At 41.6% G+C, this 23,089-nt stretch overlaps 1 protein-coding gene across 53 annotated transcripts in view; it reads left to right on the top strand.

Annotated features, from left to right (window-relative positions):
- THRB (thyroid hormone receptor beta) overlaps positions 1-23,089 on the top strand; it is a 378,556-nt gene that overhangs the window by 243,007 nt on the left and 112,460 nt on the right. For 7 of the 53 annotated variants that reach the window (NM_001374825.1, XM_047448799.1, XM_047448813.1 and 4 more), the window contains one exon: positions 14,621-14,711. The exons of the other annotated variants lie outside the window; for them this stretch is intronic. The gene's annotated coding sequence lies outside the window, so the exon portion shown is untranslated. The remainder of the gene's footprint in view (positions 1-14,620; positions 14,712-23,089) is intronic. 53 annotated transcript variants of the gene reach the window in all.

Here is a 23,089-nt window from a genome sequence, read left to right as displayed (position 1 = left end):
GATTTATTCCCAGATGGTTTATTTAACTAGTTCCTGTTGATGGACATTTGCGTTTTACATATCTCCTTTTATAGGCATTCGAGATATGGTTGTTACAGGTGTTTAAGAAGTGAGATTGTGGGTGGTTTCTAGATTTGTGCCATAGTTAGTAAGTCTTCACCATTTTAAAGCTGTGGAAAGATTTTCTTGTGGTTTCTTCTAGGGCTTTTATTTGTTACATTTTAATTTTTTCATATACTTGGTATTTAACCAGGCATAAGGTATGAGTTATAGATTCAACTGTGATTTTTTTTCTAGATGTTTACTGTTTATCTCATCTTTAGGAGTTAAATAAGCCAGTTTTTATTATATTGTAAATTTCCATATATATTGAGGTCTGTTTCTGAACTTCTGTCCTGCTCCATTGATCTGCTAACTTTTCATGCACCAATACTGCACTGTTTTAATTACTAAGGCATTATACTATGCTTTCATATCTGATGGGCTTAATTCTCCCTGTTACTTTTTGTTCAAAGTGTTTCGTATATTTAATATTCTTACAGGATAACATTCATATAGTCTTACTTCCCTGTGGGTTTTTAAGTCATCAAGAACAAGCAGTGACTATTATCACATACCATTTTAGCGTCTTTCAAGGAGATCAAATACTTTTTTATTCAGTGGACTTATTACTCTGATTAGCAGTTTCAGCATTCCTAATGTTGACTTATCCTTGCTTTCCTAGAAATATTCCATTTTTTCTGGTGTATTGTTCTTCTAATTTTTCCAAGAGTCATTTGCTGATATTTTATTTAAGATTTTTTGTCTCAATTAAAATAAGTCATCTGGGCAAATTTCTTTTTTATGCTGTCTTTTCCAAATTTTTGGTATCAGAATTATGCTGATTTACAAAAGTAATTGAGGAAGTTTATTTTTTCCCTGTGCTTTCAAACAGTTTAAATAATTTTTTTTATCTATGAAATAATCACACACAAAACCATCTGGATTTGGCATTTTCAGGGAAGGGAGAGGAGGGGGGTTCCTTGACAGTGTTTAAGTTTTTCCCATGATTTTCAGTCTATGCAAATTTGTCTTTTCTCCTACTTTATGTTTTTTAAGAAAATCAAACAATTCATCAAGATTTTGAATGTATTTTCACAGTTACTGAAAGTCATCTCTTATAATTATTCTAATCCTCAGTATACATAAATAATTCCCTTTCTTTTTCCTAATTTTGTGAATTTGTTATTTCTCCCTTTTTTTCTCCACTAGGTTAACTGCTAGTTCATCTATTTGTTGTTTTGTTCTTGGTTTTTCCAAAGAATCAGCTTTGGGATATCTTTACACATGAGACCTGTTAAAATGTTTTCTAGTCCTATAAGCTTTCTGACTTTTATTAATTTCTCTTTCAGCTTTCTTTTATCTGTGGTTCTTTTTCTACAAATGCTTAACTCATTTATTTTTAAGTCATAAAAATGTATAAAACTATGACATTTAAGATATTTCCTTTAGTAAGTACAGCATTGAGGGTCTCACATAGGTTTTAACATTTGTTATTTAGATCATAATTATTCTTTACATATCTAGCAATAAGGCTTCTATTTACTCTTTGACAAAGAGTTGTTTAGGAGATAATTTTCTTGGCTTCCAGGTAATTGCAGTTTTTCTTTTTTTATGTGTCTGATTTTCTTTCTTTTTTTTCTATTTAGTTTCTAAGTTAAGTATATTTTAGGGAGATTGTTTTGTCACATTTCTACCTATTTCTACTCTTGGAAAGTTTCTTTATTGCCTTTGGTCACATGCTATAATTATTCTATTTTTGCAGTATTCTGTTTTTCAGATATGGGTATCTGATCCTAGATTAACATTAGTGATGTTATTCTGGTATTCTTTCTTATTTTATATCTACTTAATCTTTGAAGGAATGTAAGGTAGGTTAAACAACCACTATTGTGTTTCCATGTATTTTTCCTTGAATTTTCTACAGGGTTTGACTTCATCTATTTCTCTTTTTCTTTTTAAGAGACAGGATCTCACTCTGTTGCCCAGGCTGGAGTACAGTGGTGCAACCATAGCTCACTGCAGCCTCAAACGCCAAGGCTCAAGGGATCCTCTCACCTTAGTCTCTCCTGTAGCTGAGACTATAGGTGTACACCACTGTGCCCAGCTAATTTGATTTTAAAATTTTTGTAGAGATGAGGTCTCATTATATTGTCCAGGCTACTCTTGAACTCTTGGCCTCAAGCAATCCTCCTGCCTCAGCCTCCCAAAGTGCTGGGATTACAGGCATGAGTTACCATGCCCGGCACTTCATACATTTCAGTACTATGTTACTTGGAGCATAATGTATGGTTATATCTATTTTCTACCTGATAAATAATTTTAAGGCAGATGGAGACTGAAACATTGCACCAACAGGCAGTCAATACTACCTGCGAGCTATGAGAAGATCTCAAAGTTGGAGACTTCTCAAGGGGTACAGGGAATTGGTGACAGGTATACCTGAGGGTTAGGCAAGAACAAATGCATCTAATACTAAGATGTTTTATTAGTTAAGAAAAGTGACATGAGGATATATGTGCTTGATCTTTTAATTTCTTCTTTCTGGATTTTGTTTCTTATAACTATGAATTTTGTGTAAAAAGACCAACAGTCATGTCTTATTTCTGTGCCCAGCAACTAACACAGTGCTTTGCCCTCACCTTTGGTAGATACTCTGGTACTAGGTTGGTGCAAAAGTAACTGCAGTTTCTGCCATTAAAAGTAATGGTGAAGACTATATCACTCTAAGAGTTTAATTCTTCATGGTGCCATGTGGAAATACTAGCAAAAACAGCAATTACTTTTGCCCCGGCCTAATAGTTGTTGTGAATAAATGAATGAGTGAAGTAGCAAAATATGAAATAGGTGTTGCAGACCAGGGTAATTAGCACTGACATTTGCCCCACCTCTCTGTCCAAACATGCCACTCCTTATAGAGCAGACTGTTGAGTTCTATATTCTTTCAAAATTTTTCATAGACTCACTCCTGGAGCCAGCTCATAATGTATTAAGTATTCCTCCTGAATGTGTACAGATTTCTTGTTTACTTTATGAATCCAACTGAGAAGGTATAACAGATATACCAGAGATGGGAGTCTGTGGCCCTAGCCATTGATTGTTTAAGTTCTGGGTTAGAGGTAAGCAGCCCTTGCCAGAGTGATCCAGTCCCAAAGTAGAAGGAACAAGTTTTCTTGTGATGTGGCAAGGTTATATCGCTCTAAGAGTTTAATTCTTCATACTGCCATGTGAAAATACTAGAGAACAAGGGTTGGTTTAAAATAATTATCACCTTAAAGTATTAGAAGTATAAGGGGGAAAAGATCAGAAAGAATATGCCAAACTATCCACTGATAGTTTGTTAGTGGTTAACTCTATGGTGGGTTTTAATTGTTTCTCCTTTATACTTTCTGTTTTCAAACATTTCCAGGGTGATCAGGAATCATTTTTATGCAAAAAAAAATAAGAATTTTTAAAAGTTTGATCCTTTGAAGACTTCTACTCTACTATCCTTTGGATTGGGCCTTATCATTTCTCACACATGCTGGCTCTTTGCTGGAAATAATAATTTCTCACACTTAGCAGAAACAGATTTGCATTAAGTCAACGGTGTTGTTTCTGCTACTGCACTTTCACAAGTGTAGCACTGACATGCAGCAGTCAGGATCCAGAGAGGAAACAAAATCACACTAGGTAATTCAAACAGAAGGATTTAGTTCAGGGAATTGGTTGTTACATCGGAATTGGAGCACTAAAGCACTAAAAGAGCAAAAAGGAACACTGAGGGAACCCAATTGCAAGAAGTAGCTGTCACCCTCAGAGTTGGGAAACAAAAAGAGGAGATGAAATTAGTAGGACCTAAGAACTCAAGGAAGTAGTCCTGTGGAGCTGGTGCTTGGACCACTAAGAAAGGAAGCCAACCAGCTGCTGCTAGAACCTCTGAGGGACGCAAAGGGACTGGTTTTGGAAATGTAGAAAGAGGCCCATACTCCAGACAGCAGTGACTACTGGAGGATGCTCCTGGGGCATGAAAAAGGAGAAAGGAAGTTCCTTCTCCTCACCTTCCAGTCTTCTTCCAGTGAATAGAAAGCCCTCTGGCAAGGGACTCTGGGAAATAGCCACATCCCAGCCCCAGCATCACAGAATAGAGCAAAGAAGGGTGGATCTGGAGCTGAGGGGCAACAGGTAACAAACTAGCACCCAGCTTTTGGGTCAAAAACTCAGTAGTTTTATAAATGGCAGCTAACCAGCTTTATTCATTGTACTATTCCAAACCTTTCCTTTAAACAACTACTGATGTCCTAAATTTCCAAATATCTCTTGGCTTTTCGAGAAAAGAGTATTTTCTTTATTAGAGGAGTATTCATTTGTAGTCCCTTTAGAAATGTCTCCAGCAGCATCAATATGGGGTTGAGCCTGATAGCTCAATGCGTGGGGTTAGGGTTCAAGGGCAGTTCATTTGTATATACTCCTACCCAGTTCGTATACTGTTAGGGTCCATTCTTATGAATTTGACCTCAAAGTAATAGGAATAATATCCTAATCAAATGGAGCACTGATTATTAATAGAAGTTCTAATTTTCTGAGAAACCATGTAACCTTTACTGAACTCAGAAATGTCTCATATCCAAAAAGAAAGGTTTTCCTGCCACTTAAGTAATGTGTCTCACTGATACAGGGTTGGCCATGTGAAAAATTCCAGACTCATCAAGAGTAAACTTTTCAAATAATTGGTTTCAGCCTAGCCAAATCCTGTGCTTTATATATTAAAAATTTGGTTGCTTGATATTCTGAGCTATAAACTTTATTTTTGAAGTATATATATCCCATAGATGTGATTTTTGCTCATAGAAAAATTGTAGAAAATTCTTAGGACCTTTCATTCAGAAAAGATTGAAGCTCTAATTCTTCACAAAGAAGCTTGGATTTGGGGTCAGGAGGCATATTTTTGGGTCCTGACTTCCCCATGTACCAGTATTTATCTTTAGACATTTAACATCTGAGCCTCAGCTTCCTCATCTGTAAAAGAGATGATAAAATGAGGTTGTAAGCATCAAATGAAAAAATACAGTGTAAAAAGGCAATATAAATGCATGTAATCATTATTATTCTTGCAAGATGCAGTCAAGTTTAGTGATTTAGAGCATAAAGGATTTGCTCCCTGTCTCTCCCACTTTAAAATTCTTGCAGTTTTGGGCAAGGGAGTCACATCTCTTAACTTTAGTTCCCCCAACTGTAAAATGTGGATGGTACCACCTACGTCATAGGTTGAGAATACAAGTAATAAGAGTAATAAAGGAGGCAGCAGAATCCTTAGCAGGTTCCCTAGAACTTATCAGAACCCTTTAGAACATAGCAAGCACTCAACAAATGTTAGCTGCTATTGCTATTATCGCCTTTATTGTTATCATCATTACTATTCTTACTTTTTAGGAAACCGTGCACACATGTGTAAGATGTATGGTGATTAAGATATTTATTCATCATAAAGAAGTATTGTTATTTTCTTTTTTCTGTACTCAATTTCATTGAACACAACAAATAGAAACTCTTTACATTTGTTGTAGATTTCTACTCAAAGCCAAGAGCCACGTTTTGTCTAGTTGGCCTTTGCCATGGAGCTAAGAAGTGACTCCAGAAACACATTCAAGCATATCATATGGGATCCGCAATATTTCTTTGGCATTTTAGAAAGAGATTAATTCCTCTTTCTCTGGTAATCTTTGTTTTCAAATTACATGAATTTTTTTCTGAAAAGTGAAATAGTTCATGTTTGTTTATAGTAGGTAAAATCAACAATACAAATTGATGACCAAGATCCACTGTCTTTCCTTTTCATGTACAAAAATTAGTCATTAAGTGGGCCTTGTTTATGATAAACTTTTTCTTGACTCTAGAGATGGTACAACTGAGGCATTCCAAATTACACCTATAAAAACTATCATTTTGGGATCAAAACTATATTTTTTGAGGGAAAGTAAAGTTGTGAAAATATTCTTCTAAATATTCTCTCACTGGGAAAGCGTTAGTTGAAGTCCCAACAGAGACATCAAATGGTTCCTATTAATTGTTGCAGAATTGCTGAAAAGAGTCAGTTATGCAAATGCTGCTGCCCCCAAAGAACTGGGTTATCCCGTCATTAAATCTCTTCTACTCAGTATCATGCTAGAGAATAGAAATCCCACTCTTTCCTAATGTTACCAACTATTATATAAGAAATCATTTCACACTGAGAAATATCAATACCATGCCCTTTTCAAAAACTGCAACCGTACAACCAGTGCATGAAGTAAATCAAGTTCTCAGTAGGCAGCAGTGGCACTTAGTGAGTGTTCCACTGCCTTCTTTCTTGAAACCCCATGAAAGGAACACACTTCACATGCCAGCTCTTCTCTTGGTGTGTAACAAAATGACCAGGACCCTACGGAATTAGGTCTCTGGTACCCAATACTCAGTTATCCAGAACCTAGGCTTAACTATGCATAACAATAACAACTCACATTTATTGAGCACTTACTATGTGCAAGGTACTATCCTAAGCCCTTTTCTTGCATGAACTCATTTAATTCCTACAACATCTCCGTAAGGGACATGCTATCTTCTTTGGGGACACATGTACAAATGATATTAAAACAAGCTGATGTAGCTATTCTGTCCAAGCATCCAGATTGCATGGTCAGAATGATACCAACCCAATAAACTACACTTTACGTAACCCACATTATGAAAGACCCTCTGTTTGTTTTGTTTTGTTTTGCTTTGTATTGTTTTGTGACAGAGTCTCGCTCTGTTGCCCAGGCTAGAGTGCAATGCCACTATCTCAGCTCACTGCAACCTCTGCCTCCCAGGTTCAAGTGATTCTCCTGCCTCAGCCTCCCAAGTAGCTGGGATTACAGGCACGTGCCACCACACCCGGCTAATTTTTGTATTTTTAGTAGAGATGGGGTTTCACCATATTGGCCAGGCTGGTCTCAAACTCCTGACCTCAAGTGATCTGCCCGCCTCGGTCTCCCAAAGTGCTGGGATTACAGGTGTGAGCCACTGCACCTGACCAGGCCCTCAGTTTATAGCTGGATCTTGACAGAGAAAATTGGCGTGGTCCCTGTGCGGGGAGGCATGGTAATCTGTGGAGTGTCCATGTTTTGTAAAGTTGGGTTTTTTTGTTATTCTTTCCCTTTCACACACACTAATGGCCCTCTGCACTTCTGACAGAGTATTAAATACAGCCTCCCCTAATTAGAATTGTTTGTGCACATCCCGTCTTCTCTACCAGTCAATATCTGTCAGAAGGAAAGGGGTGGGGCTTAGTCATCTCTGCACCCATCATGGCACCCAGCTGAGTGATGTGCACCTTGCAGGTGGGATGCAGAATGGCTTAGCAGTTAAAAGCATTTGTTGTGGTTGGCAGTCTAACTCTTCCCCTTGCCAGCTGGGTCACAAAGGGCAAGTTTCTCAGTCCTCTGGCCCTCTGTTTCATCAATGAGCAGAAAACTTACCATTCATTCAAACATTCTAATTATTAATGGCATAGTGACTGTGTCCTCCTCAGGAGTTCTCCAGACACATAGCAGCAGTCCCCAAGAGTCTTCTCATATCATCACGTTGCTCACATCTTAGGGATTCCCAAAAGAGAAGGTTGAAGCCAGGACTCTGGATAGCCCCCTGACCTTTGTTCAAACAGACCCTTTGTGCACTGATGGGCATATGTCAAGATTTTGAGCAGAGAAACAGGCAGAAGAGCAGAAAGAAAGTTTCCCCCTTCACAGCTTAACAAGGTATGCTGTTAAGCTCCCAGAAGAGGGAGAATGGTCTTCATTGAGTTGTAACCATGCAGCATTTTCATTGCAATGTGCTGTTATTGTTCCATATATGTTATTAGATTACCATAACATCAGTGAGTTCTCGGGAGGAAGATTCACAGGGCTGCTAGCTAAGCAACATCTCAGTTCACTGCCACAGACACTTTGAGCTCTGTTTGTGTGGAGCAATTGCCCATCAGCAGATGGTACTGATGTCAACATGCCTGGAGTTTTCCTTGGCATTATAAGTTCAAAAGTGTCAAAGTTCAGTTTCATACAAAGTAGCTGCTTGTTTTCCAAAACTGACCTGGAGGCCTAGAAAAGACTGCAGAATTTTGATAGATGTGGAAGTTATTAAGGAAAGCCATTTAATCCAAATAAATTGCTCTTGAGGTAGGCCTTGATCAAGAAGTTTCAATTACATTTCTTTACCAATAAATAGATGTCTCTGGCAGCAAATGAGAGATAAGGAAGGTTCTCTCTCACTCCCAATTCAAAACTCAAGCCAGAGAAAATCCACATGCCTGACAAGAAATAATAATAGCCTATTTCTTTTTCAGCTCTGTCTTTAACACCCTGTATGATGCTTCAGTTAGGTGTGTATTTTCAACAGTTTTATTGAGATGTAATTTATATAACAAAGTTTACCCATTGAAAATATATAGTTCACTGGATTTTGGTGTATTTACAGCCATTTATATACTGCCGTCACCACAGTCTCCTTTCAGGATACCTTCATCCACCCCAAAAGGATCCCTTGTATCCATGAGCAGTCACTCCCCATCCTTAAACCAATCCCTCACCCCCACCACCCAGCCCTAGCTGACCACTCGTCCACTTCCTGTCTCTATAGTGTGCATTTTTTTTAACCTAGACATTGCCTGGCAACTCCTCATAATTAGAATTTAATAAGTGTTTCCTCAAAATCTGTCATTTTTGAGAAAATTTATTTCCTTTTGTGTCACTGGGCCTCCCTTCCTCCATTCAGCACCTGTCCCTAGCACCCCCAACAAGGGTGTTCTCCATTTAACGAGTATTTACTAAGGGCCTGCTATGAACTACACACTGTGTTAGCACTTGGGGTCATCAGTGAACAGAATGAAAAAGATCCCTGTCCCCGTAAAGCTGACTTCCTAGCAGAGGGAGAAAAAACAGTCAACAACAGCAGCAGCAAAGCACAGAAGTAAAATGTACAGCATGTTAAAAGACACTAAGTACTATGGCAAAGAGAGACAGGAGAGGAAGATAAGGGGTATTGGGAAGCGCCGTGCCCAGGGAAGGGGCAGGTGACAGCACTGGGATGTTCAAATAGGCATCCCGAGAACTTCAGGTGTTCAACCCTTAATGGAGGTGAGGGAGGGACCCAAGCAGGTGTTGGAGGCATGAGCATTTCAGGCAAGGAAAAATCCTGACGCAAAAGGCCCTCTTGTAGGGGGCACATATGACACGTTCGAGGAAGAGGAAGGAGTTGGTGAAGCTGAAACTGGGAGAGGAGAGACAGAGAGGCAGATGGGGCAGATCCTTGTGGGAGCCACAGTGGGATTTTGAGCAGAGGGGTGACAGGAGCGGAATCGTATCCTACCTGTTGGAATGCCATTTTAAACAGAGATGAGAAGGGGCAAGGGCAGATGCAGGAGACCCCTGGATACTACTTCAGAGGCTACTTTAGGGCCTCTAAACCTAAGTGGCTCTCAATCTTGGCTGGGCATCAGAATCACCCACGCTGCTTTACAAACTGAGGCCTGAGCTACAGACACTAATTGGCCTGGAGTGCACCTGGGCACTGGGATTTTTTTTTTTTTTTTTTTTTTTTTTTCAAAGGTGCGCAGGTGATTTTGATGTGAAAGCCAGGTTGACCATGAGAGCTTTCAGAGCACTAAGTAGTCCCCCTGATTTGACTTTGCAGCTAGGAAACAAAACCCCACAGATGACCCCTCTTGCTCATTGGCAAAGCTGTGCTGAGAGGCAGCCAAAAATCTTGCTGCTATAGCAGTGGCAGGACTGGTGCTGCAGACAGTGTGCAAACTGGGATGGGGCTGGCTGGAGCCCACCTGGATCATCAGACCTTGAGGTCAATCTCATTCTTTGGCTGGATGCAAACACGAGCCTCTGAATGTGAGAGCAAGGCTTTCTCTCTGCACCTAAGAAAGGGCTTATTGTAATATATTAGGGCAGAAGAGAAGGATAAGGCTAGAACCTCAAGAAGAAGGTATGTGATTCACTCAACAAACAGTGTTTAAGAATAATAGTGACAGTGTGCCAGGCATTGTGCAAGGAGCAGCTGAGAAAAAAATAAGGTTTAACTGTCCTTGCCCAAGCCAAATGGCTCAAAGTGAGCACCGTCTAATATTTCAAAATGTGTTATTTGTGGGAAGGCTTTAAATAAGCCAGAGGGGAGGGGGGATTCTTCAGTTGCATATCTGAGCTGCTGGCATTTCTAATTCAGAGGGATGAATAGAACATTATTGTGTTGCATCGGTACAAGTACAGCAGGAAAAAAAAAATGCTTGGAGCCGTGAGCCGAACATGAATCAGCAATCTGGTTCTATTGTTCGGAAAATAATCACCATGCTGGGAGCATGGAATTTAAGAATCATGCAGAAATGCCCTTCCCCCTCCCAGCAGGAAACAGACATTGGCTAAAACATGCCATCTTGTTTTTGGCTTCCTGAGCTGAAAAGAATGTAAAAAACTTGGAGAGGATTTAGGGAAAGCTGATTTGTAAATATGGAAAATACAACCCATAAGAAATGGGAGATAATTTAGACCCAGTGTTGGCAACCTCTCAGAGGTGGCACGCCAAGGGAGTGTTTATTCACTCTTGTGAGCAGGCAGTACAGCTGCCCTAGCTTCAAGAAATAACTCATGTTTTTTGAGTTCCTACTATGCACTGATCAGTGTGCTAACTTGTGGGGGGAGGAAGGAGAGTGGTCCCTACCTTTTGAAGACCTTCTAATTTGTGGCGATGGGCAGGGGAGTGCACCAATACTATAAAGCAGTAGTTCTCACACTCAAGTGTGCATCAGAAACATAGGACCCGAACCCCACCTTCAGAGTTTATAACTCATTAGGTCTGGGATAGAGGCGGTGCATCTGCATTGCCATCTTGTTCCCAAGTGATCTGATTCTGCTGCCTGCATACTTTGAGAACCCCGCTCTAAGAAAATAAGTACAAGGGGCAGGCAAGGAGGGTTCAATACAGAAGTCCACTAGAAAGGTGCACTTGGTTTGTTGGTGCAATAGCAGGTACCCCTTTTTGGATCTGTTCTCTAGCACCTAGCTAATGAGTGTTAATTGGCAACGTGCTTTGGATAGATCACACTGGCCATGACTGCCACCATCCAAGGAAGGGTGACAAGAGGCACAAGAATAGATTTCTCTGTAGGCCTGAGGAAGTTGAGCAGGACATAATACAGTAAGACATACACATGTGGCCTCGCAGTGGCAGAGCAAATGGCTGTAGGGTTAAGAGGACAGTAGGGTGACCTGTCTCCACGCTCAAACTCAAGCACTTCTCCCATGAGCAGAAGGTCTCAGTGGAATCACCTGAGTGGCTTTTCTAAGTACGCATTATTGGGCCCAGGCCTGGAGACGGTGAGCAAAGCTCCTCAGATGATTCTGCCGTGAAAACCCCTCCTTGAGAACTGAGAATGCTTTTTCTGCATCCTGTGTGGTTGTGCCCCATACTTACAAGTAAGCAGAGTGCAAAGCCAATCTTTTGGAAAATACAAAATCAAAGTGCCCAATGGGTACACTCCCCTTCCCATTGTGTCTCATTGCCGTTTTGTTGCCACAGGAGTTGAGCGTCCCAAATTCAGGTGTGCCCATTTAAAATGCAAGTGGCCCTCAGTGGGCACAGTCCACCAACACAGCTGGACGTGTTGGCCAGAGTAAGCTGCCGTTCACTGGAAATATTCTAGAGAAGGCTGACCGTGTGCTGGTCAGGATGGAAAGGTGGGGGTGCCTGCCATGTGTTGAGTGAGTACAGCCTACCAGGATGGCACCTTAGTTCCTCCAACATGTTCTTAAATGGATCAGGCTGGTGGTTCTCAACATGTGGGCCCTGGAAAGTATATCCAGATCACCTAGGAACTTGTTAGAAATGCAGACTCTCAGGCACCCCAAACTAACTGAATCAGAAACTCTGGGAATGGAGCCCAGCAATTGGTTTTAACAAACCCTTCACATGCTCACCAAAGTTTGAAAGACACTAGTTTAGCTTATGCTATAGGTAGCTCCTTGCTACCTGTAAGTCAGAAGCAGCACAGAATTGGAATGCAGGCAACCGGTCATTTATTCATCTACTGAGGTATTCGTACAACTCTTCCAACATGGTGAACATCTTGTGCTCATTTGTCTGATTTTCACCTAAGAATGTGAAGTGTTCAGTATCTAGCCAGCTTCTCAGCTATGGTTGGCATCCGTGTAATTTCCAGTGATAATCTGACTTACTGCATCCTCTTCTCAGATTATATAAGGGCTGTGTTCTTTTACTTTTTAGATTCTTCGTCACAGCCTCCCCATTTGACGCGGGCTCAGTAAACTACTGAATAATAACCAAGCCTGATTTATTCCCAGGACTGCCTTAAATCCTGCTAAGACTTCACTCTGTGTCTCTTTCTCATATCCTCCACACCAAGTGGTAAGCCAGGCCGACTCACTTGGCTGTATGAAACTTTTTAATGGCACCTTTAGGTCAAATGTTGTGGCCATGGTCTCACAAAGAGTGAGGGGTGAAAGGAGATACTGCAAATCACACTTCTAGACTTTTCACTGATTTTCAAAGCTGTTATAGCCATGGTTCCCAAAATCTGTACCAGAGCACCTTGGGTACCACAGCAACCCCACAGAAATACAGTGGGATGTTTTTAATTTTTGAGGGAAACCCAGAAACAACTGTCAGACACCATGCAAATCCACCTGTCAAGCTGTTTGGACCTCATAACTTCATAAACAGGGCATTTAAGTATTTCTTTTGACCTAGGGTCACCGTAAAAAATATTACTGAAACACTAAGAGTGACATACACTGAGAAAGTTGGGAATCTCTGTTACAGCATGACTGTCCCCAGGTATAGTTTAACTGTACACATTCTGGCAGGATCATGCATTCAAGCCATCACATTGCAGGAAATACACATTCTAAATTTAAATATTAGCAGGGGAGAAGCTGAAAGAAAATTAGAACTATATGCATCTTTGAGGGACTTCTTTCCTTTATAACCTTCCTACCCAGACCTACCCATCCTAGCTCCCTGAGACAACCCTTAACCAAGGCTCCTGTGATTTTTCAAAATAATAAATAATAATGATAGAGGCCAAGACAGGAGAATTGCTTAAGACCAGTAGTCCGAGACCAGCCTGGGCAACATAGCAAGACTCCATCAAATAATAATAATGATGATGTAAATTCTCATTTAGTGTCCCAAATATGATGGATTAATTCTTGCAAATTGGAACTAATGATTGCTCTAATTGCTCTGGTGCATTCCTGAAAATCACCTTTGATACACACTGTTGAAAGACAAATTCAGGCTGTGTGTGCTATACCATGCACCTGACACCTCACAGAAAGCCACTGGAATTTCTGATAAAGAGCCAACAGAACCTTTACCAAGCAGAATTAAACAAGAACCTAATGTGCGACTGAATGCAGTGGCTCACGCCTGTAATCCCAGCACTTTCAGATGCCGAGGTGGGCAGATCACTTGAGGCCAAGAGTTCAAGACCAGACTGGCCAACATGGTGAAACCCTGGGTCTACTTAAAATACAAAACTTAGCCAGGCATGGTGGCTTGTGCCTGTAATTCCAACTACTCAGGAGGCAGAGATAGGAGAATTGCTTGAACCCAGGAGAAAGAGATTGCTGTGAGCTGAGATCATGCCACTGCACTCCAGCCTGGGTGACAGAGCAAGACTCTGTCTCAAAAAAAAAAAAAAAGAACCTAATGCGTGAGAATGGAGACAAAGTTTCCGAAGTCAATTTCTGCAAGAGCTTTGCAATGTAGCCCCATGTCCCCTGCCCCCCATTTGACACTGAAGAAGTAGTAAACAGTTATATTTATTAGGATAATTTTATTTTCATCTTCAAGGGAATTTCAGGAGCACAGCAGTCTTCATAACACTCCATTTAGGAAGATTATTCTTTTTATCCCAGGGTTAAAAATCTGAAGGAGCTCACTGCAGATTCCAGAGGCAGCAGAGCACTGGCTCAGACTGAGAGACACTGTCTCCCTGGGACAAGATTGAATTTTCTTTTAAATTTCAGATGATACTATCAAGGGGTCAAGTACTAGAGTCTTTTCTTATGACACCATCCAGGGTTGCAGAAGGGAGTGGATTGTTTGTTATTGTCTTACTCATTATCAAACTCTTTTTAAAAATCAATAATAAATCATTTGCTGCAGTCTTAATGTTTTATTTTCACATTCTTGTTTGTTGTTTTTCATGCATGTGTCTCAGTGAGTCACCTAACCACAATTATATATTCTGGCATCTGGTGGTTCTGCATGGTACCCTCATTCCTTAGGAATTAATTTCCCTGACATGATGAATGTGTTTCCAATCCGTTCATCACACACACACCCCACACACCCCCCCCCCCCCCACACACACACACACATACACACACACCCTCTTTAGCAGGGAGAAGTTACCCTACTCTCCACCAGGTGTCAGTAGAGTCAGTTTTAACAGCATGCTTTGGCCAAAGGGGCATCTGCTGAAGTTGTTTTTCCTGCTGTCAGACGTTTCCTCAAACTACCTCTGGGCTGTCCTCTTAAGAGACTATCTTCCATTTCTTAGGAGTGTTCGGAGATGATAGTCCACCTGTAGAGAAAGACAGCCATAAGGAAACCGCACTATAAACAGCAGGTGGCCAAGCTGGTCCTTTCAGGTTGGTCTCATAAAATTTTTACTGGCTGTTTTCTTCTTTACTTTTCTATCACTACCTTATTTGGCTTAAAAGTGCTCCATGTTTCACTCAATGTGACAATAAATTAGATGTGGTTGATGCTTTTAGATTTGCAGGGGGCTTTGTTTGTTTGTTTTAAGGCCCATTCCACCTCTGCCACTGCTGACCTAGTCCTCAACACAGGAATCGGATTTTACTCTGCTTGTAGCCCCAGAACCCAGCATTGAAGGGTATAGAATACTACCATGGATTAAGTGTGCACGTCCCACTTAACCCAATGTCACCTTTGAGAGCTACGGCCTTATTCCCATTTTAGGAATGGTTACTCCTGACTCAGTATCCCATATTTAAGTGGCAAGGCCAATGCTCTTTGTAACATGCCATGGTGACTTTGTCTGGGAGAGAGGTGGAAAAGGAGAGGGGAAGAGGAAGGGGAAGAGAGAGAAGAGGACAATGATTTGGCCTGGATATTGACTAACATAAAGAGTAGGGGGAACTCTAGAATGAGATTGTTGAACTGGAGTTGAGAGAGTGGGTGGAGTGGAAGTAAAAGTGAATTATTTTACTAAGAATAAAAAGAAATATCAGCAACAGCAAATTAAGCTCAGTTTCAACCATAGACCCTGGTTGAATTATTTCCCTTCCTGACGGCAAAACACTTACAGAGACTGCCTGAAAATCTGAAATGAAAAGTATAGCTTTGCCATTCAACAGTCATTTGCTAAAGTCTGTTATGTGGGGCATGAGTCTCCTGCCATACCCAGTGGAGAAATTCTGACTGCCTTCCCCTCCAAGAGGTGACCCACTCAGATTAATACCTGGGATACGGTACAGACAGAGCTTTCACTAGTTTTCCACATTTTTACTAACTCAGAGTTTTATGTTCCTCTTTAGGCTCATGCCCAGTCTAACTACGCTAGCTTTTCATATTTTTTCTCTTACTGATTTTTTGATACTACATTCCCAAATAGGGTTAGTTTTACTGAATACAAAAGGTGGATCACAGCGTGGTATGATTTGAAAACACCTTGCCTCTGTTCTCCTATTTGAGTTCTTAACTGATTCCTATCATGAGAAATTCAACCATTATTTATTCACTTCATTGGGTCCTAGATTTAATATTAAAATGCAAAGGGCTCGGGGAAGGATAACTGGGGCTGCACTCAGGATGCTATAGACTTGGGAACAAATTTATTTCTGTGTCCAAACTTTCTTACTCCCCACAGCAAGGTTAAATGAACATGCAAAGTAACCTTGAAAGGGAAAAATTTTTTTTCACAAAAATTCAGCCTTGCAAGAGGAAAATGGCAGGGCAGGTGAAGGAGAAGCAATTTCACCTCCTTTTAATCTTTGTAATGACAGCATCTGGGGAGGTGGGCTCTGTATTGTTCTTGAGTCTTTAAATGACCTCAGGTAAGCTTAAAGTTAGACCAGGCAAGAGTTTCAGTTCCCCCATGCCTTTGGGATGATTGAGGCTGGCCAGGAGTTGAGATCATCTATAATAATGATGATGCCTATAATAATAAAGAAGTCTCCCAATACCTTACATTTGTGTCCTCCTTTTAAATTTACAGGCATTTTCCAATTGCTTTGGTCCTCAGCATAATCCTGAGAGGGCAGGAATTGTGATTTATCTTTACAAATGAGGCTTGAAGAGTTAAAGGAACTTGTCCATGATCCCCAAACTACTAAACTGAGACCCAAAGCCATCTGGAATGACGCCCAGTCCAGGAGCCTTTCCTCCATACCTGGGATTGGACTTGTTCTTTAAAATATTCCCCAAATACCAGAGTCAAAGGTTTGATGTATAGCTCTCCCTCTCCTCCTATGAGGGGGATAAGGAAAAGAAGGGGAAACTCCACTTTTACCCCCAAGAGATCCACAGCCTCACTGCCCTCCTAGCATGGGTGCAGCCCACCTAGGGGGACAGCCATTTGCATTTATTCAGCTGTGCTTCCAGATGCCACAGACAGAGCTGTGGGAAGGCTCAAGTGGGGACAGGGTGGGGTGAGGGGTTCAGCCCCATCCCATGAACTCCAGTCATACCCAGCACCCCACAATACCAAATAAACTTCATAAAAATAGTTGCTTGCTACCTAAACACAACTTCAAGACACATCCCTAAGCTATGCCCCCCTCTTACACGGCAACTTCCTAGGAAATCTAGCATGTCCACTGATTCTGCATCTAGTCACGTTTGCTCAATGCTAGGTGAGAAGATGGATATGTCCTTCTCTGAAGGCCTTCCCAGTTTTAATGGTCTTGGGCTAGGGTATGTAATAACGTCACACTCATGGGTCTGACCTTTTAAAATGAACCAAGAGAATTGCTAATGAAGGTTCCCCAACCCACAGCCCCCAACCCAGTCAGTCATGGCTTTTCTGGGCTGCCCATGAAGCACCTGCTGAAGTATTAATAGATGAGCCCTGTTAAATCTTATCATCTGATACATCAGGCTGCATGACACTCTGCTACCCTTCCTCCTGAGAGAGCCAAGGAGAAGAAAAACTAAGGAAGACAGTTTGAAAAGGCCACAAAAGGTTGATGATGAGCTGTGAGGGGAAGCATGTTTTGATTCAGTGCACAGGTTGGATAAACAATGACTCACCAGGTCTACGTGGAAAGATTTTTCATGAGGTAATTTTTACAGATGCCCCTTCAGTGCTGTAGTTTCGATACAGAGAAAGGAAACACAAGGGGACAAAGGTGTGTGGTCAGGGCAAGCGTGCTGGAGTTCTACAAGAAGGAGTGGAGGTGTTCTCTCTGGCACTGGTCTAGCCTTGTGACCTTGAATACTGAGACAGGCAAGTATTAGGTTGGTGCAAAAACAAAAGCAATTAGAAGTAATGGCAAAAACTGCAATTGCTTTTGCATCAACCTAATAGCAATGATCCCACTCAAAGAGGTGCCACCAAAGGGTGAGCCTCCCAAGCAGGCCTCCTCCACACTGCAGCAGGGCTGCCTTTCTCACACTGGATCACTGCTTAAAGACCTTCCGTGGCTCCCCATTTTTCACAGGATAAAGCCCAAGTTCCACAGCAACTCTTTCAAGACTCTTCACCATCTGGCCTGAAACTACATTTGCAGTGTCATTCATGGTCACTTCCTGCCCCGCTCCTGCAGTCACATACCCTGGGCTTTTTTGGTACTTCTAAGCCATGCTTTTCATCCCTGGCGTGGAAAAAAATCCCAGCTCATTTTTCCAAAGCCAAACTCACATATCACCATTGGGTTCCCTCATACAGGTGTAATTAATTACAGTCTCTTCAGTGCCTTCAAACACATCTTGTATCCCTCTTGTTCAGCTCTTCTGCCCCTGAGTTACAGGTTGGTTCTTCACCTAAGCCTTGCAGGAGTGGGCTCCATGAGTAATTCATCTTGAATGATCTAAAGCCTGAGTTGGTGTCTGATGGGATTAATGGGGCAGCCCTAGACAGATCCTTGGGTTGATGGATTCCTCTTCAGCCTCCAGGCTTGTTTTTTAGAAACTCATCTTCCACCCACAAAGGAATTTACTGCTGGTAGGTTCTCTTCTCTTTGCTCCCAACCAAAAATAGCTCTTGTGTCTCCTTTTCATTCTATTCACTAGATCACATTTACATCAACTTATATCTTTTCCATTAGCTATCTGCATTTTAAGAATGATCAAAGTCCATAGCCAAAGCTTAATATGGCAGCTGTGAGTAGATTTTGCATGTGTAAAGTATCTGTGAACCCTCTGAAAATATATACCAAATGGCTTACCCATTTTTCAAGGGGAGGGGCAAGTGATATAATTAAATGGAAATGTAATTTTTCATTACATTTCTTGAGGAGAGCACACTCCCTAATAGTTGAGATCACTCAGCTAAAGAATGAAGCTTTAAAGGAGAATTTGAAGGAGTGAGGGACATGCAGCAGGATTTTAGCTTGTCCCTGAAGCCATTTCATACACACAGCGCCTGCTTTATTGCAGCTTAAAGACCCAGGTCATCTCAAGAGAGGCTTAACATGCCCTGAGAGCAAAAAGCAGTGCAAGGTAAGGAGACTGTGTTCTTCTGTGTGGCCATCCCAGCCTATGAGACATGCATCTTCTTAGACGTCAGGCAGGGCAGGGAAAGGCCCCTCAGCAGTCTCCAACAGCATCTCTCCACCCGTTCTCTGTCCACTGAACATGCCTGCACTCTGTTCCACGTGACAGCTTTTCAGATATTTGAAGACCACTCTCTACCCCTCATGTGACTCTTCCCTTTTCTAGGTTTCCTTCAATGTTTCCTTAAGATACGTTTTCCATCGTCCAGGATATTGTACATGAGACATCCTTCTTAAAATGTAGCAGCCCACATGTGGTCTGACCAATGTCCTACAGGCTCTTTCTCTTTCTTTCTTTCTTTCTTTCTTTCTTTCTTTCTTTCTTTCTTTCTTTCTTTCTTCCTTTTTCTTTCTTTCTCTTTCTTTCTTTTCCTTCCTTCCTTCCCTCCTTCTTTCTTTCTTCCTTTCTTTTTTTCTTTTCTTATTTCTTTCTTTCCTTTTTTTTGAGACAGGGTCTCACTATGTTGACCAGGCTGGTCTCAAACTCCTGGGCTCAAGCAGTCTTCCCACCTTGGCCTCCCAAGTAGCTAAGAGTATCAAGTGCATGCCACTGTGCCCAGCTACAGGCTATATTTCTGTCCATGCAGCCCAAGATGCTGTTAGAGTAATTAGCAGCAGCCACAGTTCACAGTGTGGCATGGAACCCAAGGCCTTCCAAAGTTCCTGGACCTATTTACTAAGTGTTGATAATAATTCCATTTACTTTTCAGTTTCAGAGGATTCAATAATAACTTTACCATCATTTGGATTTTTAAAATACAAACACACTTTGTGTGTTTGAGAGGTGAATGCCTGCTTTTCTACTCTTCCAATGAGTGGAATGAGCTTTATTTAAGGGACACAGCACTGGGCTGAGAACAGGTAGAACTGGCAGAGGAAGGCTCCACCTGCATGATTCTCAGCACCACCCCTTGGCACATGGCATCTGTGACTTTTATTTTTAGCTGTTCCTTCCCAACCAGCTTATAAAATGGATTGTAAATTCCTTGAGGGCAGAGAGCCTCCAATCTTAACCTATCTGCATCCGCAGTGTTTATCCCAGTGTTAAATGCTCATATCACATTCTTCACAAGTCTTGTTTCTACCTCTTAAATGTCACTTAAACACCTAGCCCTCTCACCATCTCCACCACCTCCACTCAAGTTCCAGCACCTTTTTCTCTATTCTGGACCTGCCGTGGCCTGACCAGTCTGCTTTCCACCCACGAGCTGCTGTAAAGCTTTAAAAACCCACATTGGGTCTTATCACACCCCTGCTTAAAACCTGCGTAATGTAAAGGCACCACCCAGTTTTTCTGTATGAAGCTCATTCCTTGCAGAGTAGTCCATGGGCCTTAGGAGCACAAGGATGAGAACAAAGGGTTAAATCATAACCTGGGGATAGGTCTATTTGAAAGAAGGGCCTAAAGGTCTGGGGTCACCTCCACTCAAAATCCTCCCCAAATAAGCCCAAGTAGAAATGACCTTTCCTTCTCTCATGGCCCCAGTCTACTCTGAAGAGACAGGTAAGGTGAAACCTGTATATATTTTTGCATTTATCTGGTGCAATTCTCTCCCTATGTTAGTTTAGAAGCTGCTTGTGGACAGGCCACAGTGTTGTCTTTAAACAAAACCTAGGGCATTGCCTAAACAGAGTAGCCTCAACCAAGGCCTCGCGATAACCAAACAAATGAATGACCCATGTCAAAGGGATATTCTCTACTTGGGTAGCAGTTGCCTAGAAGACTAAATGGAATGGCATTTCCCTTCCCCTAGTGCTGAACTGTTGAAGCAGTTAAAGGACCATCGACTTTGAAGGGCCGTGGTACACAGACCCTCACTGGATCTAACTGAAAACCCTTCCCTGACCAGAGAGAAACAGGGCATGTTTTAATGAATGACACACAGATGCTAGGTGTCAATCCTTCATTAGCGTAGCCACCCCTTTCTAACTCAACAACTCCTTGACCCTTCCTCCTCACTGACCTACAAAGCCCTTCGCTGTTTTTGTTTCCTTCCTGGCAAATAAAGAAACTCAGCTTGCTTTACTTTTAAGTTCTTTTGGACTTTCTTTTCTCCTTTGATCCCATGATTTGCTGGTGAGCTCCAGGCCTCTGCCAAGGCTGTGGAAAGGACCATCTTGGGATTCCCCTCCTCAGTACAGAGCATTTTACCAACACCCACCATGTAGGACAGGAGACCAGGAAAGGAGGCCCCGGGACACCTGCCTTCCCTGGGGGATTGTTAGAAGCTTTACTGGAATTACATTGAAAACTCTAGAGCTCACTGAAGGAAAATTGTACTAAATACTACTAAATACTAAATAATACCAAAATACTACAGTAAAAGTAACACTAGTATACTATTAATAGTATTAGTAATACTATATCTGTTATATAGTAACAGTAACACTAAAATACTGAAGTACTAAATTGTACTATAGTTGAAGGAAAATAGTACTAAACAGAAAAATTGGTACCAAATTTTGTGGTGATAACACTATTTTTAAAGTCTTATATAGAATTAAGATTTTTTCCATTCCTAGATACTTTCCGCCCCACACACAATAATTTCCTATAGTTCATATGCCTATTCAATTGGAATTTTGAAAATGAAGATATTTTTAACTGATAATATCATAAGGACATAACTGGGATTTTATAGCTTCGCCTTCAAGACAATAAAAAGCATACAAAACTATGCTGACACATTTGTATTAATGTTGTATTTTAATATTATCAGTCAGGATTCTTTTGGTTGCAAGTGACAGAAACCTAAGTCAAACCAGCTTATTGTAAAAAGGGTAATATTTTACTGAGGGCATCCAAGGAAGGGCTGAATAGCCAAATCCCTGGAGGAGCAGAAGAGGATACAGCTGGGCCTCAGGAAGAGCCGAGAGACACCACAGCTTTCTCCTTCCACTTCAGGCTGTCTGTGAATGTCAGATGGATCCTCTCTCTCACCTTCAAATGGACTTTTTCCAGGTGGCTGAGAGATATGGTCTCAGTGTTAGAGTTTTAACTTCTAATAAATTCTGTCCCTAGAGAGGAACTAGATAATATCTCTTTCTCTCTCCCTCAATCCCTCCCTTTCTTTCACCCTGAAAAATCATCTTACTAGTCCAGCTCAAGTCTTAAGCCAGTTTTGCCAGAGGTGGGGCACAGTCCAAGCCAAGTTCCTCCACCTCTTTAGAATATTCAGGAGTGGTAGCATGTGAAAACATGGCAGCTTCCATGGGTTCAGAGGGGGTGGTTAATGGCAGCACAGTTTCTAAGAGGAGCAACAGAGTCAGGACCCGCAATACTGTAGGTACGACCTGTGCTCTCACCTACAGCAGCTCAGAACTTGGTGCCTCTCACTCAAAATGCTGCTGGACAGGTGAACAAAGATGGGACAAAGGGCTTGTGGTAGAGACCCTTGACGAGCTAATCAGAGGCAAGAATGCATTTTCCTAGCAGTGAATACTCATCCTCTCCATCAGGTGCCAATTTGGCAGCTTACACTATGCTATATCAACTTCATTCATCTTATTTTATTTAGTTGTTCAACATATATTGTTGAGTACCTGTTATGTATCTGACATTCCGCTCAGTGTAGAAGATATAAACATGAGAAAGGCAGTCTCTGCCATAAAGAGATTACAGTGTGGTGGGAAAGGCAGCCGTGTAAACATGTAATTTCCACAGAATGGGACAAGAAGTATGATCAAGGTTTGAAGTCATTGCTGCAGCATTAGATGTGGAGACAGAGCATGAATGGCTATGTATAAATCTGTGTTGTAAACATAATCCACACACTTCCTCTGCCTCGTTCTTTTTCTTCTCCAACCAGTTATTTAACAAGATTGTTCCTCCCTTTCATGGGCACAGTACGTTATAGATTACCCAGCACTTCCACTCACAGCATCTTCAAACCTCAGAAATACCAGCCTTGTGAAATAAGTGGGACAAGTATTAGTTTCCTCATCTTACACTGAAGAAATCGTGTTTCCAGTGCTTTGAAATTACTTCCTCTGATCCCACAGCTAGTAGTATATTACAACGTTGGACCTCAAGCCCATGCCTCAGGCTTCAGTGCTATTCCTAAGCCAAAATGCTACCACCATCTACCACTGGCCACAGAACACACTCCAGAAAAAGAAAGCTAATCCTAATCTGTCTCCGGCAATATGCTGAAGGACTGTGACCCAGGTTCATCACCCACCAGTGTCCATCTGTGTCATCCTGGGTGCACCCTTCCTTGGCATTCTTCCCTGGGTCAGTGCACCTCTGGCCACTGATGCATACCAGGCCTCCATCCCCAGCCTGAGGG

Source organism: Homo sapiens, chromosome 3 (assembly GCF_000001405.40).
Source record: "Homo sapiens chromosome 3, GRCh38.p14 Primary Assembly".
NCBI lineage: Eukaryota > Metazoa > Chordata > Mammalia > Primates > Hominidae > Homo > Homo sapiens.
This window is presented reverse-complemented; position numbering and strand designations above follow the sequence as displayed.